Source organism: Homo sapiens, chromosome 4, assembly GCF_000001405.40.
Source record: "Homo sapiens chromosome 4, GRCh38.p14 Primary Assembly".
NCBI lineage: Eukaryota > Metazoa > Chordata > Mammalia > Primates > Hominidae > Homo > Homo sapiens.
The window spans coordinates 5319430-5336842 of record NC_000004.12 but is presented as its reverse complement, the minus strand read 5'-3'; the positions used below and the strand labels follow the sequence as shown (position 1 = coordinate 5336842).

Below are 17413 nucleotides of genomic sequence, written 5' to 3'. Positions count from 1 at the left end.
TCTCTCAATATAGAAAATCATGTATTTCAGGTCTGGGAGATTGTTCTTTCATTGTTTCATTGATGATTTCTTCCTCTATGTTTTCTCTTTATTGTTTCTTGTGTTGAAATCTGTAGATTCTTTAACTTTGCTTTGTCTCGTATTTTCTTTTTGTCTTTTTACTCTACTTTACAGAAAAGTATAAAGACTTTATCTTCCAGCATATATTTTGAGTTCTTTAAATTTCTGCTTTCACAATTTTGATTCATAAGAGCACTGATGTTTATTCCATGAATTTAAAAAAAATGCTATTTCTTGTTTCACACATGCAAAATTCTTCTTTTATCGTCTGAACATACTGATCATAGTTATTTTGATGTTTCCAGAGTCACTGTTTAACCTAAGCTTTATTATTTTTTTCTATTTCGTTGCTCGGATCCTGATGTTCAAGTTAGAAGATTTCCCTGGATGTCTGATAATCCTATGATGTCATTAACTTAATTGGGAGCTGATAATGAAGGAATAGGGCTTGTTTACTATAACCTACACTTTAAGGTGTCCTGGAAAACCTTTGATGGCACAATCTCTTTCCTTCGGGCTCAGTCACATTCCCATTGAAATCACTTGAGTTCCCTGTGTAGAGGATGAAGGCATAAAGACACCATTCTTTGATCTCAGTTGTGTGTGTGTGGGTGGGTGTGTGGGTGTCATTTCAGCATCTAGTATGATTATGTTCAGATAACATTGCCATTGTTAGTACAGTATCCCAACCCAGGCAGGCTTGATGTCCTTTAGCCCAGGCACTCTCCATTTTACCCTCATTAGCAGAATAACCTTTAGTCTTCCTTTCGGGTAAGGAAGGGGGCAACCACCTGGCTCTGCAGAGTTGGGAAAGAGGTCTGCGTTCTCAATACTACTTAAGTTTTCAGCACCACACCACACCTATTCCAAAATTGACCACATAGTTGGAAATAAAGCTCTCCTCAGCAAATGTAAAAGAATAGAAATTATAACAAACTGTCTCTCAGATCACAGTGCAATCAAACTACAACTCAGGATTAAGAAACTCACTCAAAACTGCTCAACTACATGGAAAATGAACAACCTGCTCCTGAAAGACTACCGGGTACATAACGAAATGAAGGCAGAAATAAAGATGTTCTTTGAAACCAACGAGAACAAAGACACAACATACCAGAATCTCTGGGACACATTCAAAGCAGTGCGTAGAGGGAAATTTATAGCACTAAATGCCCACAAGAGAAAGCAGGAAAGATCCAAAATTGACACCCTAACATCACAATTTAAAGAACTAAAAAAGCAAGAGCAACCACATTCAAAAGCTAGCAGAAGGCAAGAAATAACTAAAATCAGAGCAGAACTGAAGGAAAGAGAGACATAAAAAACCATTGAAAAAATTAATGAATCCAGGAGCTGGTTTTTTTGAAAGGATCAACAAAACTGATAGACCGCTAGCAAGACTAATAAAGAAAAAAAGAGAGAAGAATCAAATAGATGCAATAAAAAATGATAAAGGGGATATCATCACTGATCCCACAGAAATACAAACTACCATCAGAGAATACTACAAACACCTCTACGCAAATAAACTAGAAAATCTAGAAGAAATGGATAAATTCCTCGACACATACACCCTCCCAAGACTAAACCAGGAAGAAGATGAATCTCTGAATAGATCAATAACAGGATCTGAAATTGTGGCAATAATCAATAGCTTACCAACAAAAAAGAGTCCAGGACCAGATGGATTCACAGCCGAATTCTACCAGAGGTACAAGGAGGAACTGGTACCATTCCTTCTGAAACTATTCCAATCAATAGAAAAAGAGGGAATCCTCCTTAACTCATTTTATGAGGCCAGCATCATCCTGATACCAAAGCCTGGCAGAGACACAACCAAAAAAGAGAATTTTAGACCAATATCCTTGATGAACATTGATGCAAAAATCCTCAATAAAATACTGGCAAACCGAATCCAGCAGCACATCAAAAAGCTTATCCACCATGATCAAGTGGGCTTCATCCCCAGGATGCAAGGCTGGTTCAATATACGCAAATCAATAAATGTAATCCAGCATATAAACAGAACCAAAGACAAAAACCACATGATTATCTCAATAGATGCAGAAAAGGCCTTTGACAAAATTCAACAACCCTTCAGGCTAAAAACTCTCAATAAATTAGGTATTGATGGGACATATCTCAAAATAATAAGAGCTATCTATGACAAACCCACAGCCAATATCATACTGAATGGACAAAAACTGGAAGCATTCCCTTTGAAAACTGGCACAAGACACGGATGCCCTCTCTCACCACTCCTGTTAACATAGTGTTGGAAGTTCTGGCCAGGGCAATTAGGCAGGAGAAGGAAATAAAGGGTATTCAATTAGGAAAAGAGGATGTCAAATTGTCCCTGTTTGCAGATGACATGATTGTATACCTAGAAAACCCCATTGTCTCAGCCCAAAATCTCCTTAAGCTGATAAGCAACTTCAGCAAAGTCTCAGGATACAAAATCAATGTATAAAAATCACAAGCATTCTTATACACCAATAACAGACAAACAGAGAGCCAAATCATGAGTGAATTCCCATTCACAATTGCTTCAAAGACAATAAAATACCTAGGAATCCAACTTACAAGGGACATGAAGGACCTCTTCAAGGAGAACTACAAACCACTGCTCAATGAAATAAAAGAGGATACAAAGAAATGGAAGAACATTCCATGCTCATGGGTAGGAAGAATCAATATCGTGAAAATGGCCATACTGCCCAAGGTAATTTATAGATTCTATGCCATCCCCATCAAGCTACCAATGACTTTCTTCACAGAATTGGAAAAAAACTACTTTAAAGTTCATATGGAACCAAAAAAGAGCTCGCATCGCCAAGTCAATCCTAAGCCAAAAGAACAAAGCTGGAGGCATCATGCTACCTGACTTCAAACTATACTACAAGGTTACAGTAACCAAAACAGCACGGTACTGGTACCAAAAGAGAGATATACATCAATGGAACACAACAGAGCCCTCAGAAATAAGCCGCATATCTACAACTATCTGATCTTTGACAAACCTGAGAAAAACAAGCAATGGGGAAAGGATTCCCTATTTAATAAATGGTGCTGGGAAAACTGGCTAGCCATATGGAGAAAGCTGAAACTGGATCCCTTCCTTACACCTTATACAAAAATTAATTCAAAAAGGATTAAAGTCTTAAATGTCAGACCTAAAACCATAAAAACTCTAGAAGAAAACCTAGGCATTACCATTCAGGACATAGGCATGGGCAAGGACTTCATGTCTAAAACACCAAAAGCAATGGCAACAAAAGCCAAAATTGACAAATGGGATCTCATTAAACTAAAGAGCTTCTGCACAGCAAAGAAACTACCATCAGAGTGAACAGGCAACCTACAAAATGGGAGAACATTTTCCCAACCTACTCATCTGACAAAGGGCTAATATCCAGAATCTACAATGAACTCAAACAAATTTACAAGAAAAAAACAACCCCATCAAAAAGTGGGCAAAGGACATGAACAGACACTTCTCAAAAGAAGACATTTATGCAGCCAAATGCTCACCATCACTGGCCATCAGAGAAATGCAAATCAAAACCACAATGAGATACCATCTCACACCAGTTAGAATGGCAATCATTAAAAAGTCAGGAAACAACAGGTGCTGGAGAGGATGTGGAGAAATAGGAACACTTTTACACTGTTGGTGGGACTGTAAACTAGTTCAACCATTGTGGAAGTCAGTGTGGCGATTCCTCAGGGATCCAGAACTAGAAATACCATTTGACCCAGCCATCCCATTACTGGGTATATACCCAAACGACTATAAATCATGCTGTTATAAAGACACATGCACACTTATGTTTATTGCGGCACTATTCACAATAGCAAAGACTTGGAACCAACCCAAATGTCCAACAATGATAAACTGGATTAAGAAAATGTGGCACATATACACCATGGAATACTATGCAGCCATAAAAAATGATGAGTTCATGTCCTTTTTGAGACACGGATGAAATTGGAAATCATCATTCTCAGTAAACTATGGCAAGGACAAAAAACCAAACACCGCATGTTCTCACTCATAGATGGGAACTGAACAATGATAACACACGGACACAGGAAGGGGAACATCACACTCTGGGGACTGTTGTGGGGTGGAGGCAGCGGGGAGGGATAGCATTAGGAGATATATCTAATGCTAAATGACGAGTTATTGGGTGCAGCACACCAGCATGGCACATGTATACATATGTAACTAACCTGCACATTGTGCAAATGTACCCTAAAACTTAAAGTATAATAATAATAAAATAAAACAAAAATAAAAATAAAAAGAAGTTTTCAACAATTCGCCTTATTATAGCCTCTTTTCACCAACTGCCCCCATTCCATAGATACCAGGTGCTGCCAATTCCTGAGCTTTTGGGGAATTCTTTAGCATCTATTAGTTATTGACTCTCCCCAGTAGCAACATTAAATTCAGTTTCCCGTTTCCTAAGTCATCGATCACTCTACATCTTTCTTCCCAGCTTCCCCCATGTTTTGACTGTAGTCCCCTTTCAGTGTTCCCTATCTTCATAACTTTATCACTTTTCAAACATTCCTTACTGTCATTTAATGGAGTTTAACAAGGGAAAAATTTAGACGTATATGCTTAATCTGTCATCTTTACCTAGAAGTTCAAGTCCTCATCTTTTCCAAATCTTTCAAAATTAGTTAAGTTACAAGGATATCAGCTAAGCACAGTGCAAGACCATGGGTAAACCAATTTGGAGCCTCTCACACCAGCTGCCTCTTCTGGGGTCAGTGAGAACATTTATGAATGATACAATCACTTTCCAAAGCCTCTCATTGAGTTCCAGCTTCTGCAGGCAAAGTCACTTTGCTCACCTGTGTAGGACATGGCACTGCTGTGCATAGCAGGGAGAAGTAAGGTCCCTGAGGAGGCTACAGAAACTCAGAGCTTTTATGCAAAGCCCAGAGCCAGCACTGAGGCTTCCTAAGAGAAAGAAATCCTCCACGATGCACAGCACTGATTTCTAAGTACAGAAAAAAAGAGAGTAGAATCCCTCACACTCCCAGCTCACTAGTATAATAATGCTCCTGTAACTCTTCTGACTTGAGACAGGAGAGACAGAATGTTCCAGCTTCCCTAGGCATACTGGAGCAGAGAAGATAAGGCCAGCCACCAGCCATGTCTCTAAACAGTAGTGTACGGGTATAGGATGGGAGATGTAGGTGCTGGTTGTAGAAAACATAAAAAAATAGGAAGAAAAGTGTTCTGCTTTTTTCCCTCATGCACTACCACTTTTAAACCATGTCAAGGACAAAATTCTCTCCCCACTACTGCAGACTGCTCCTGACACCCTAGCCCATGGTCCCTCTGTCCCAGGCATCCCGCCAGCAGCCCAGTTACCTGTGGATGATGTGGTACCTCTGAAGATACTCCAGGGCCAGTGCCAGCTCACAGATGTAGAGTTTCACAGTCCCCTCTGTGAAATGCACATTCTGCTGCAGATGGTAGCGCAGGTCGCCTCCCAGGAGCAGGTCCACCACCATGAACATGTCCTCCTCATCCTGGAAGGAGTACCTAGGAGCACAGAAGGACAGAGAAGATTAGGGGTGGAGGCACCTTCAGCACCCTCAAGACCAATGCCTCCATTTTACAGAAGAGCAAACTGAGGCTCAGAGAGAGGCACTGAGTTGCCTGAGTCATGGTGCTATGGGAGTGGAGGGGAAGGGGAAAAGGCTTTCAATCCTCAGGCTGCCTCCACATTTGTTGGGGTTTCCTCATTTCTTACATAGCAAAGGCAAGCAGGAGTACCCAGCATTAGTTCCCAGGCTCTGGCAGACAGATGACAGTTTAACTACTACTGGACTCCAGCATGTTTCTTCATCCGTTTTTAGCAGGTGCTTTAATTAGATGGTGTCACTGTTCGTAGGAGCTAGCCTCCAAAGACACACTCCCCTCCCAAACATTCCCTCCATTCCCTGCATATGCATGCTGCTCTCCATATGGAGCTTGTTTCTGCAACTCTTGAATGCAGTGGTGTTATGGGACATCCAAGTCTAGGCCTTAAGGGAATGGGCAGTTTCTAATTTTTGCCTCTTGGAACCCAGCCAGATGCAAGCCACATGGAGAGGCCAAGAGAAGGAAAACCAGATCCACAGCTGAGTTCCCAGTGACAGCCAGCACCACTGCCTGCCATGCGAGTGAGCTACCTTGAGCATTTTGATATTCCATGGCAACCCCAGATATCACATGGAGCAGAAGAACAGCCCAGCTGAGCCCAGTTACCCCACAGAACATGAGATGATTAAATGGTGGTGTTTTCACACCATTAAGTTTTAGGGTGGTATTTTGTTTTGTTTTTGAAACAGTAGAAAATTGATACAGTACCAAATTCATTTAACAAAATGCATTTGGGCTTTCTAAGGACTGAAGAGCCAACACATAGAATCTGAGATTGTTGTTAAACAATTGTAGTATAGCATCACATCACAAACTGTTGTCAAGTTCATTGTAGACTTACAGGGTATAATAATTGAATCATGTAATATTAATCACAGAATTGCATAATGTAATCATGGAAGCTTAGACCTGTGTCTTAGATCCTCAGATATTAGACCGAATCAGCAAGGTCCTTCCCCTCACTTAACAGAACAGGAAACTGAGGCCCAGAGGGAAGAAGGGACTTGGTGAGTCATTGTAAGTGTGAGGACAAGAACCCAAATCCCCTGACTCTCACTCGCTGCAGTGTCCTGATGACCATACACTGTGGGGATGTTGCTGTAATGCACCCACACTATGTTCCAGTATCCTGGGTGTGCAGCCCTGGGGAGGGAGCCTGGTGCATGATTTGGTCCCAGGACAGGCAACAGAACCACATGCTTACAGGACAGGGAATTCCAGGGTTGGAAGGACCTCAAATCCCCTCCAGCTCCCATTACAGAGACTGGGGTCCAGGAAAGAGGAGATGGCTGGACACAAGTCATATCCTCTTTGTGTATCTTACCCATTGTTCATAATTGTTCAGAATTAAGGCAAGGAAGGGGGCTGTTTATTGCGTCCCCAGATCATGAATTTACCAGAGGCTTATGGAACACCTACTGTCTGATAGGCATTGGGCTACGTGCTGGGGACACTGGGACAAAGAAACTGTCTTCGCCCTGGAGGCGTGCACAGTGCCCTGGGAGGGGCTGGGCTGACAGTCACTGACAATGCACGGGCTGGCATTCTAGGAGTCTTTCCAGGGTGCAGGCGAGTGTGGGAAAGGAGGAGGCCAGTGCTCTAGCAGGTGAAGGTGGGTGGGAGGAATTGGGAAAGTCTTTACCCATGAGGGGTTTACTGGGTCAGGAACGCACAGGCTGTGTGACTCAGACAGAGAGAGAAACAGCATGACCCATGGCGGGAGGCTGGATCATGGCGCAGTACCCACAACCTGCACAAACAGCGGAGGGCCACCTTTGGGAGTCACCATGGTGACATGGATGGGCAGGAGTGGAGTAAGATACAGTCCCTGCTCCTCATGGAATGAGAGACTGGAACAAACCTCACGGGATGGAATGAAGTGTCTCCTATCAGAGACTCACAGGAAGTGCTGTGATGGTGGAGGGTGCAGGGCTGAAGATGCTGTCTTTCTCCCAGGCTGTTCTGTGCTGAAAGGCCCTTCTGCCTTTCTAGGCAGAGGCACCCAGAGTACCCAGGACGTTCCCAATATTCCTGTCACAGTTTCAAGGCACTATTTCCAGAAGTTTCAGTTAGAATATTTTTGTTTGCCCAGAAAGTTTTTATTATTGTTGGTATTATTAATTATTATTCTCACTCTCACTCTTGGCCTCCCAAAGTGTTGGGATTATAGGCATGAGCCACCGCGCCCGGCCACCAGCTGGACTTCAGATCTGTTTCAGGGCCAGTATAACCTCATCCATGCTCCTCCCCCTCAACAAAGAGAGGAGCATGTAAGTAATACAGCCTCGCTGGGAAGCACAGGACTACCTTGTTTTACTGCACTTCACTTTCTTACAAATTGAAGGTTTGCGGCAACCCTGCCTCCAGTAAGTCTATCAGTGTCAATTTTCCAATAGCATGTGCTCAGTTTGTATCTCTGTGTCACATTTTGGTAATTCTTGCAAAATTTCAAACATTATTATATCTCCTATAGTGATCTATGATAAATGGTCTTTGATGTTACTATTACAATTGCTTTGAAGCTCCTCAAATGGCATCCATATAGCACCCAAAGCTTCATGGATAAAGGTTGGATGTGTTCTCATGCTCCACTGACCAGTAGTTTCCCATCTCTCACTTTCTCCTTGGGCCTTTCTATTCCCTGAGGCATAACAATATTGAAATTAGGCCAGTTAATAACTCTACAAAGGCCTGTAAGTGTTCAAGTGAATGGAAGAATCACACATCTCTCAGTTTACATCAAGTACTAGAAATGATTAAGCCTAATGAGAAAGACATGCCAAATGCCAAGATAGGCTGAAAGCTAGACTCTTACAACATAAAGTTGGCCAAGTTATAAATGCAAAGGAAATAAAAATTGCTACTCCAATGAACGCATGTAAGACATGAAAGCCAAACAGCCTTATTGCTGATAGGGAGGAAATTTTAGTGGTCTAGACAGAAGATCAAATCAGCTACAACATTCCCTTAAGACAAATCCTAATCCAGAGCAAGGCCTTAACTCTCTTCAGTTCTATGAATGCTGAGAGAGGTGAGGGAGTTGCAGAAAAAGAGCTGGAAGCTAGCAAAGGTTGGTTCATGAGGTTAAAGAAAAGACGCCATCTCCAGAACATAAAAGCACAAGGTGAAGCAGCAGGTGTTGATGGAGAAGCTGCAGCAAGTTACCCAGAAGATCTAGCTCAGATCACTGGTGAAGGTGAATACACCAAACAGGAGATTTTCAAAGTAGATAAAATAGCAAATAGCTTTATATTGGAAGTAGATGTCATTTAGGACTTTCATAGCTGGAGAGGAGAAGTCAATGCCTGGCTTCAAAGGGTCAAAGGAAAGGCTCTCTCACTAGGGAGGCTCTCTTGTTTTAGCAGCTGGTCACTTTAAGTTGAAGCCAATGCTCATTTACCATTTTGAAAATACCAGGGCCCTTAAGAATTATGCTAAATCTATTGCCTGTGTTCTATAAGTGGAATAAAAAACCCCAGATGACAGCACACCAGTTTACAGCAAAATTTACCAAATATTTTAGACCCAATGCTGAGACCTACTTCTCAAAAAAAAATTCCTTTCAAAATATTACCACTCTTAGTCACCCAAGAGCTCAGATGGAGATGTACAAGATTAATGTTGTTTTCATGATAAAACAACATCCATCCTGCAGCTAATGGATAAAGAAGTAATTTTGACCTTTGACACTTATTATTTAAGAAATGCATTTTGTAAGACTATAACTGCCATAGATAGTGATTGCTTTGATGGATCTGGGCAAAGTAAATTGAAAATCTTCTGGAAAGGATTCGCCATACTAGATTGTCATTAAGAACATTCATGATTCATGAGAAAAGGTCAAAGTACTAACATTAACAGGAGTTTGGAAGAAGTGGATTCTAACCCTCATGGATGACTATGAGGGGTTCAAGACTTCAGTGGAGGAAGGAACTGCAGACGTGGTAAAAGTAGCAAAAGTACTAGAATCAGAAGTGGAACCTGAAAATGTGACTAAATTGCTGCCATCTCACGATAAAACGTTAAGAGATGAGGAGTTGAGTTGTTTCCCCTAAGGATAAGGAAGAAACGAGCTTCTTGAGATGGAATCTGCTCCTGATGAAGGTGCTGTACACATTGTTAAAATGACACAAGAGGTTTAGAATATTACATAAGCTTAGTTGATAAAGCGGCTGTAGGATTTGAGAGGACTGACTCCACTTTTGAAAGAAGTTCTACTGTGGGCAAAATGCTATCAAACAGCACCACTTGCTATAGAGAAATATTTCATGAAGTGAAGACTCCATCATCGTGGAAAGCTTCATTGTTTTCTTATTTTAAGAAATTTTCACAGTCACCCCAACCTTCAGCAACCACCACTCTGATCAGTAAGCAGCCATCAACATTGAGGAAAGACCCTCCACCTGCAAAAAGACTGTGACTTGTTGAAAGAAGGCTCAGATGAGTGTTAGCATTGTAGCTAACAAGTATTTTAGATGAAAGTATGTACACTTTTTAGACATAATGCTGTTGCACACTGAATACAGTGTAGTATAAACATAACTTTTAAAGGCACTAGAAAACGAAAAAATGTCAATAAGACCTGTCTAGGGAGAGAACCTGCAGAGAGGGAAGCAGGGCTGGGAGCTAAATGCAGAAAGAGGCACTGTTGGAGGTACTGGCTCCCACCTAGTCAGAAGAAAGATCCATCCCTGAACTTCATATTTACATGGGCAATGACTGTTTTTATTTTTTTTAATTAAGCTACTTTACTTTGAATTTCTGTGACTTGGAACTGAGTTACAACTTTTCATGTATTTGCTACTGGATAGAAGAATATAGATGCCCCAAAAGAAAACACAGGAATCAAACATAATATGCCGACTACAGATGCACAATTTGTATTCTAATAGTTGATGGACTATTGAAACATTGCATTAATAACCAGCGAGTTCTGTACTCTCAACTCACAGCTAAACTGTCAAAGGGCATCTCATTCAGTATTCCATCACAACTCTTTGGAGGAGCAACATGAATTTTCAGAGGGAAACTTGCATACTGGAATGAATTCTAAAGAGGAAAATCAAAATGCTAAGAGAACAATATTTTAAGCAATAATTCAGGTTGTGGCTTTTTCTTGCTGCAGATCCACATTCTTCACCAGGCCACAGACCCTACATTCCCAGAGACACTCAATATTATTACTGGAGAACACAGAATGACCTTTCATTTATCTCTCTGTAGTTTTGCACTATTCTACAGCTTTGTGACATTGTCCCTTTTGCTTCTTGTATTAGAATTAGAATTATATTCTCATAATAGTGCTGAACATTGTCATGGAAATGATGGAGATCACAAATAAGAAAGCTAAGCTCTATCACAGTAACTCTGACCTATGGAAAAATCTGGAAAATTAGGCTCTCCTTGCAAGAGCAAAGAAAATTGTGTGCTGTGAAGGCCTAAATCCTGGCCTGGCTATTGCAATAGAACTGCATAAAGAATGCGATTTTCCATGTTTTATTTTTTAAAAAATTATTAATTTCCTACTTTGTTCCAGAAAGGATTCAGGTGACTTGTGAAATGTATATAACATAATAGAATTAAAAATAAGGAAGACAAAGATCAAGTCACAGAATAAAAAAGAAATCCAAGAAAACAGAATCAGGAAAAAATACCCCAATTTATGCCTCAAGATCCTGTATGCTTCCCTGAAATGGCCCATCAATGTGTCTCAAATCTCCCCAGCACACAGAGCAAAAAGAGAAACATGATCAGCTACATGATTCAGAGCTGATGTGGAAAAAAAAAACAATTGTTTAGGAAAAGCAAGATTTTTGTCCTGGTACTGAAATCAGTGGGAAATTTCTTCCACTGGATTCTTATGAAGATGGTGTTCTGTAATGTGGTGAACCATGAGTCTACATAAAATAACTCTAAACACAGTAATAAGTGGAACAGGAATTTTTTGCATGATGTGCTTCAAGGTAGGCTGAAGGCATTAAAAATCCAATTTCATAGAAGCAATGCCACATGGGGTAAAGCAATGAGGCTGTGCGTCATGCTCACGGATGAACTTTCTTCATACCAGGATAAATTTAGAGCAGAGCACGAGGTGAATGTTCTTCAGGGACTACTTCACGAAGACAGGCTCGCACGCACAGCAGCAAGTACTCAGTAGGCTTCTCCCATGCATTTGGTCCTTGCAAGAAGCCAAGGATTTAGTGGGAGAAGTCGGCACATGAGTGCTCACCTGGGCTTAAGATTTCATAAGGGAGCCCAGATTTTGCCGTCATGTTAGGACAAGTCCCTGGATGGACCCACACTCTCACAATTCCACACGTTCACCCACAATATTCCTTATTCCTGGTGTACCACCTCTGTCCTCTTGTCCATCACTCACTTCTCAGCATAGTGCAGGGTTCCCAAACCCAGAGCAGTTTTGCTCCCCTGGGAACATTGGACAATGTGTGGAGACAGTTTTTGTTGTCACAATTTGGAGGGATGCTGCTGTCATCTAGTGAGTTGGAGCCAGAGATGCTGCTAAATATCCTACAATGCACAGGACGGCCTCCACCACAATCACCTACTGCAAAATGGCAACAGTGCTGAGGTTGAAAAACCCTGCTTAAGACTGACGCTCCCTCCTTTAAGAAGCCTTCCCTAACCCCGGAAACTGAGGCAGGTGACCCCCTAGTCCCTTATAATAATAACAGTTAACACTGATGTGGTGCAAATTCTGTGCCAGACACCGTTCTAAGTGCCTTATTTTCTTATTTTTATTTTTTGAGATGGAGTCTCCCTCTGTTGCCCAGGCTGGGGTGCAGTGGTGCAATCTTGGCTCACTGCAACCTCTGCCTCCTGGGTTCAAGCAATTATCCTGCCTCACCCTCCCCAGTAGCTGGGATTACAGGCCCATGCCACCACACCTGACTAGCTTTTATATTTTTAAAAGTGACAAGGTTTCATCATGTTGGCCAGACTGGTCTTGAACTCCCGACCTCAAGTGATCTTCCTGCATCGGCCTCCCAAAGTGCTAGGATTACAGGTGTGAGCTGCCGTGCCCGGCCTAAGTGCTTTACGTATATGCGCTCATTTAATGTTCCCAACAATCCTTTGAGATAGGAGTTATTACAAACTGCCTTCGATAGCTCAAGACCATGAGGTTCAGAGAGATTAAGTAACATGTCCAAGATGACAGCCAGGGAATAGCAGAGCTGGGACTGAGCCAAGATAGTCCATGTCCAGAACCTAGACTCTGTGCTTGATGCCCTATAGCACTTTCCTTGTGGCCAAGTCACCATTGCTCTTCTGGTCTCTTTTCCCCACCAGCCAGTGAACTCTGAGTGCAGGGACCTAGCTAATTCAGCACCATCCCCTGCATTTAGCACATAGCCAGGAGCATTCCACACACTCCGGAATGAAAAAGCCACAAACGCCTGAAACACCCATATTCTGTGTGGCACATTGGGTCAGTCAATGATGTCTACACAGAAGTGGGGCATTGTACAGAAAAAAGACAGAGGGTAGAGGGTTGATGGGGAAGGAAGGGTGCTAGGCCCTGCTGTTTATGTCACTACCTACAGGAACCTCCTTTTTCTCTGGCCTCTTCTTGTCACAGAGACCAGGGACTCCCATTAGCCTGAGTGACTCACCAGTCTCTCCCCATAGCCGTCTCCCTCCCTTGCAGGGTGCAGAAGTGATAGACCTGATGAGGGAGTCCAGAAGAAGCAGCCGTGCTCAGCACAGTCCCCTCGGGCTCCCCTTCTGCTTCAGAACCTGCTCATAGTGGGCTTACACTCCTGTCTGCTCTCTGCAACAGCCAGGGCCTGGCTGGTGGAGGGGGACTTGCAGGTGATCACCGTTTCCTGTGCCTCGGAGGTGATTCCATTTCAGAACTCAAGAGGTAGCAAGCCGTTTTGGCTACCAATCTAAAGTGGGTTTCTCTGACTGACTGTTAGCATGAAGTGGATACTTCCACCTCCACCTGTCAGACTCCTGTCTCTCAATTAGTCCTAAAATCGAGAAGGGAGGAGAGGTGCTCTTCACAGACCCCCTGCTCATCCCTTAACACTTGTCCCAACTAACCGTGGGACGTGGGCATTATCACCCTCAATTGCCCAATGGAGGAAACCAAGGACAAGAGAGGTTGACTGGTCCAAGGTCACTAGGTCAGTTTTCTTGGAAAGCATGTCATGTACTCAATCATCAGCCTTGGAGGCTGCTTACAAACTAAAGGTCAGCCATGCTGATAACACATGAAATACACGTGAACACATATGAGGGAGGCAGTGCCTGTTGCTGGGGGAAATCTGGAGTTGGAAAAGCTTGGTTCAGCTCCTCCTCTTACCTGATGAGTGACTGACTCTCCATCTCACCTTGCCCAGGGCCTGGCAAACAGTGTAGCATCCACAAACCTTGTGCAGTTGTTAAAGGTAGGGGAGGGCTGGAAAGGGAAAGGAAGAGTCTGGAGGAAACCCTAGACCTTTCTTAGTCTCCAGGCAGCACAATGCCACTTGAACTATTTGAAACAGCCACCTTTCTCCACTTCTTCTTCCTGAGGCAAAAGTCACTGGGTGCCCAGAGATGACTCTGTGGGATTCAGAAAATCTTGGCAGCCAGGACAAACCACATGTCTACAACACTCATCTCCTGTGTTTTTACTGTGTGGCAACTGCAGGGGCAATGAGCTGAGCATCTCCTCAGGCCACTTTCCATTCCATCTGACCTCCGAGGGTAGCAGATGGAGGGGAGGTCTCACTCACTATGCTCACCTCTAGCGATTCTTAAAAATGTAACAGCCAGCAAGAGAGGAGCTAAGAATAGCCTCACACGCTACAGAAATCCAACAATGGAGCGCTCGGCCTTCTGACAGCTCATATTGTACGAGGAAAAAAGAGCTTATCAAGCCTGACTTGTGCCTGATACATGTCTTTAATAACATTCACAATGATAAGCTTATTATTATTTTTCATAGACAAAATCTTGCTGTGTTGCCCAGGCTGGTCTTGAACTCCTGTCCTCAACCAATCCTCTTGCCTTGGCCTCCCAAAGTGCTGGGATTACAGGTGTGAGCCACTGTGTTCAGCCAGCCCAACCCCCCACCCCCACTCCCACCACTTTTTTTTTTTTTTTAATTTGACTTGAGGCACAAGAGTCTTGAAGCCACTCAAACATGATGGCTCTCATTGTTCTTCACACTGGACTGATTCTCCTATCTCCTTCCCAGGAAGTCGAAGGACGCTGGTTAGCTTCCAATGGCCTCCCGTAGACCAAGGCGACAAGATGAGAACCTCTCAAAGCCATCCAGCACCTCCAGGCAGAGGCAGTTGGGGGCAGGAGCAGTCGCGTGATGAGGTGAAGGCAGGCTTCAGGTCCACGGTGCCCCCGTCCCACTGGAGGGGCTTTGCAGACTGTAAAGTGCTATCTATCTGTATAAATGCAGAATATTGCCCTTGTGCCTTCATGGTTTTATTTATTTCAATCTATATCCTTCATGCTTCTAAAGAATTTGTAGTGGCTGACAAAGGACAGGTAAGACTGATAGAGGAGATAGTGGGAAAAATGTACAACGAAGGAGAGGCACACGTACTGTTCACGGGGACAGACAGTGAGCCTGAAACAGTAGCTCCTGCTCCCTTAGCAGTGGAAAGAAAGCAAAGGGCAATGGGGAATGACCAACACAGCCCTCACCACTTGATTAAATAAGATGAAGCCAAACTGCTCTTCTTGGGCCAAATTCCAAAAGACATTTATAACTTGCATTCTCTTACAAGGGGCATTGAATGAAAGAATGGGAAAGGATAAATGATAACTCACATATGCTAAGTGCTTCCTATGTAGTAGCCATGGTCCTAAGTGCTTTTTTTTTAATACCATTGACCGAGGCTCCTTGCTCTATGTGAGCTCTTTACATTGGAGATCTCACTTAATCTTCCAACACTTTGGTGTAGGCATTATTATGGCTATTTTAGAGGTGACAGAACTGATGTTCAGAGAAGCTGAGTAACTTGCCTAGAGTCGCACTCAGCTTTGCTCCAACCCCCTCCCTCTGAAATCCTTTTGCCAACCACATCTTCAAAGCCCTTTTGTACTCTCTCAAAGACCCTTCCCTTCAACTACACAGTGCATACTCTTCTGAGTCTACAGTGATGCACTTCTCATCATTCAGTATACATGCATCATCTATTGAACATAATCGACCTGTTCCTAAAAACCAGTCATTCTGTTTGAAGACACTAAGAATGTATTTCCCATTATTTAAGTGGGAAAAATTACAATGCATCACTCTTCAACCCAAATTTCTTAACCAATTTCTTAAAATACAATGTAAACACAACAAAATAGATAGGATATCCATCTGCTAATATGTCAAGTGTTTCCATTCCATCCTCATGATCAAACACTAAATATAGTTAATGATGTTTTAGTTTTGGGCTTTTGCAGTAACATGGTCTTGTTTACCCTCAGCAGTGTCTAAGACGCACATCCCTGTGGCGATACATACTTAATGTGATTTTTCAAACTGACTACACTTGGTTCTTACATTTCACTAGTTGTATTTGAAATGTAACTTGAGACTTGACCTGATATCACATTGTTAAAAATGTTATATTGAGTTTCAAGGCTGTAAATATAATTTTTTTCAATGTAAACAATAGCTGAAAAAGTACTGATAGATACACACAGGGTTAAGCCATGTGAAATTGCCAATGCTTACCATTTTGACTATGGAATAACAATTTCACATGGTTCAACCTAATACAGTCCATGCAGCCTTAGTAATGAAAATCAAGAGGCACTGGACCAAGAAAATGTTAAGTGCAGAGGCGTTCTGCAGGGTGAATATGCCTGAATGTTTGTTGAACACCTACTATGTACCAGGCCCTATCATGGGAGGGGGAATCATTCATCAACCAGATGTGGCCGCTCTACTCAAGGTGCTCATTGTACTCTAGGAGGGGAAGGATAAGGTAGTGTAGAAACACATAGGGGAGGGACCTATCAAAAAAGGGGAGGGATTCTGAAGGGGAAGAGACGTCTAGGTAGAGTGGAGACTTGAATTGGCTCATCAGTGTCTGTTCCACCCTCCTGCAAGTGTGCTTTCCTGTAAATGCAAAGGCTAGAAATCTGCCAAGTTCATTTCACAGACTCCCTTGCAGCTAGAGTTCCTGCATGATTTAGGTTTCTCAGTAAGTTGCATCCACATAAGACATGGCTAAGTGGGGCAAGGTCTGAGGTCTCATTCTGGGAGGCAGCTTCTCACCCGCAGCAGAGGCAGCCACATCCTCTGCAGGTCAGTTCTCCCTGTGACTTTGGGCAGAGCTCTCAGAGTTTCAGCCCAGAGTCAGCTCTTCTGCCTCCCAGGGATTCTGAGAAGACATTTCATACCCTGTAACAAATCTCTTTCTTCTGAACTAACAAGACTGTATTCTCTTCCTTGAAGCTGAGCCCTGGTTGATAGAACCAGAGAGGAGCAGAGAGCAAGGACAATGGTCCAGAAATAAGGAACAGCATGAACAAAGGCTGAGAGGAGTGGTGAGCATGGATTCCAGCTCTGTATGCCTGGGTGCGTGCTGGAGAGGGGTAAGATGGGAGTGAGGAGAAGACTCTTCAAGAAGGGCTTTGTAAGTCATGATAAGAAGTTTGGACTTTATTCTTGCACAAGGGGAAGCCACTGAGGATTTGGAAACAGGAGAAAGTCCTTGTCAG

The 17413-nt window shown here is 42.8% G+C and overlaps 1 protein-coding gene across 7 annotated transcripts in view; it reads right to left on the bottom strand.

Annotated features, from left to right (window-relative positions):
• Positions 1-17413, bottom strand: part of STK32B (serine/threonine kinase 32B) — a 481604-nt gene that overhangs the window by 164147 nt on the left and 300044 nt on the right. For all 7 annotated transcript variants that reach the window (XM_047415924.1, XM_047415925.1, NM_001306082.2 and 4 more), the window contains one exon: positions 5450-5623. In XM_047415924.1, coding sequence (XP_047271880.1) covers positions 5450-5623 — 174 coding nt within the window. The remainder of the gene's footprint in view (positions 1-5449; positions 5624-17413) is intronic.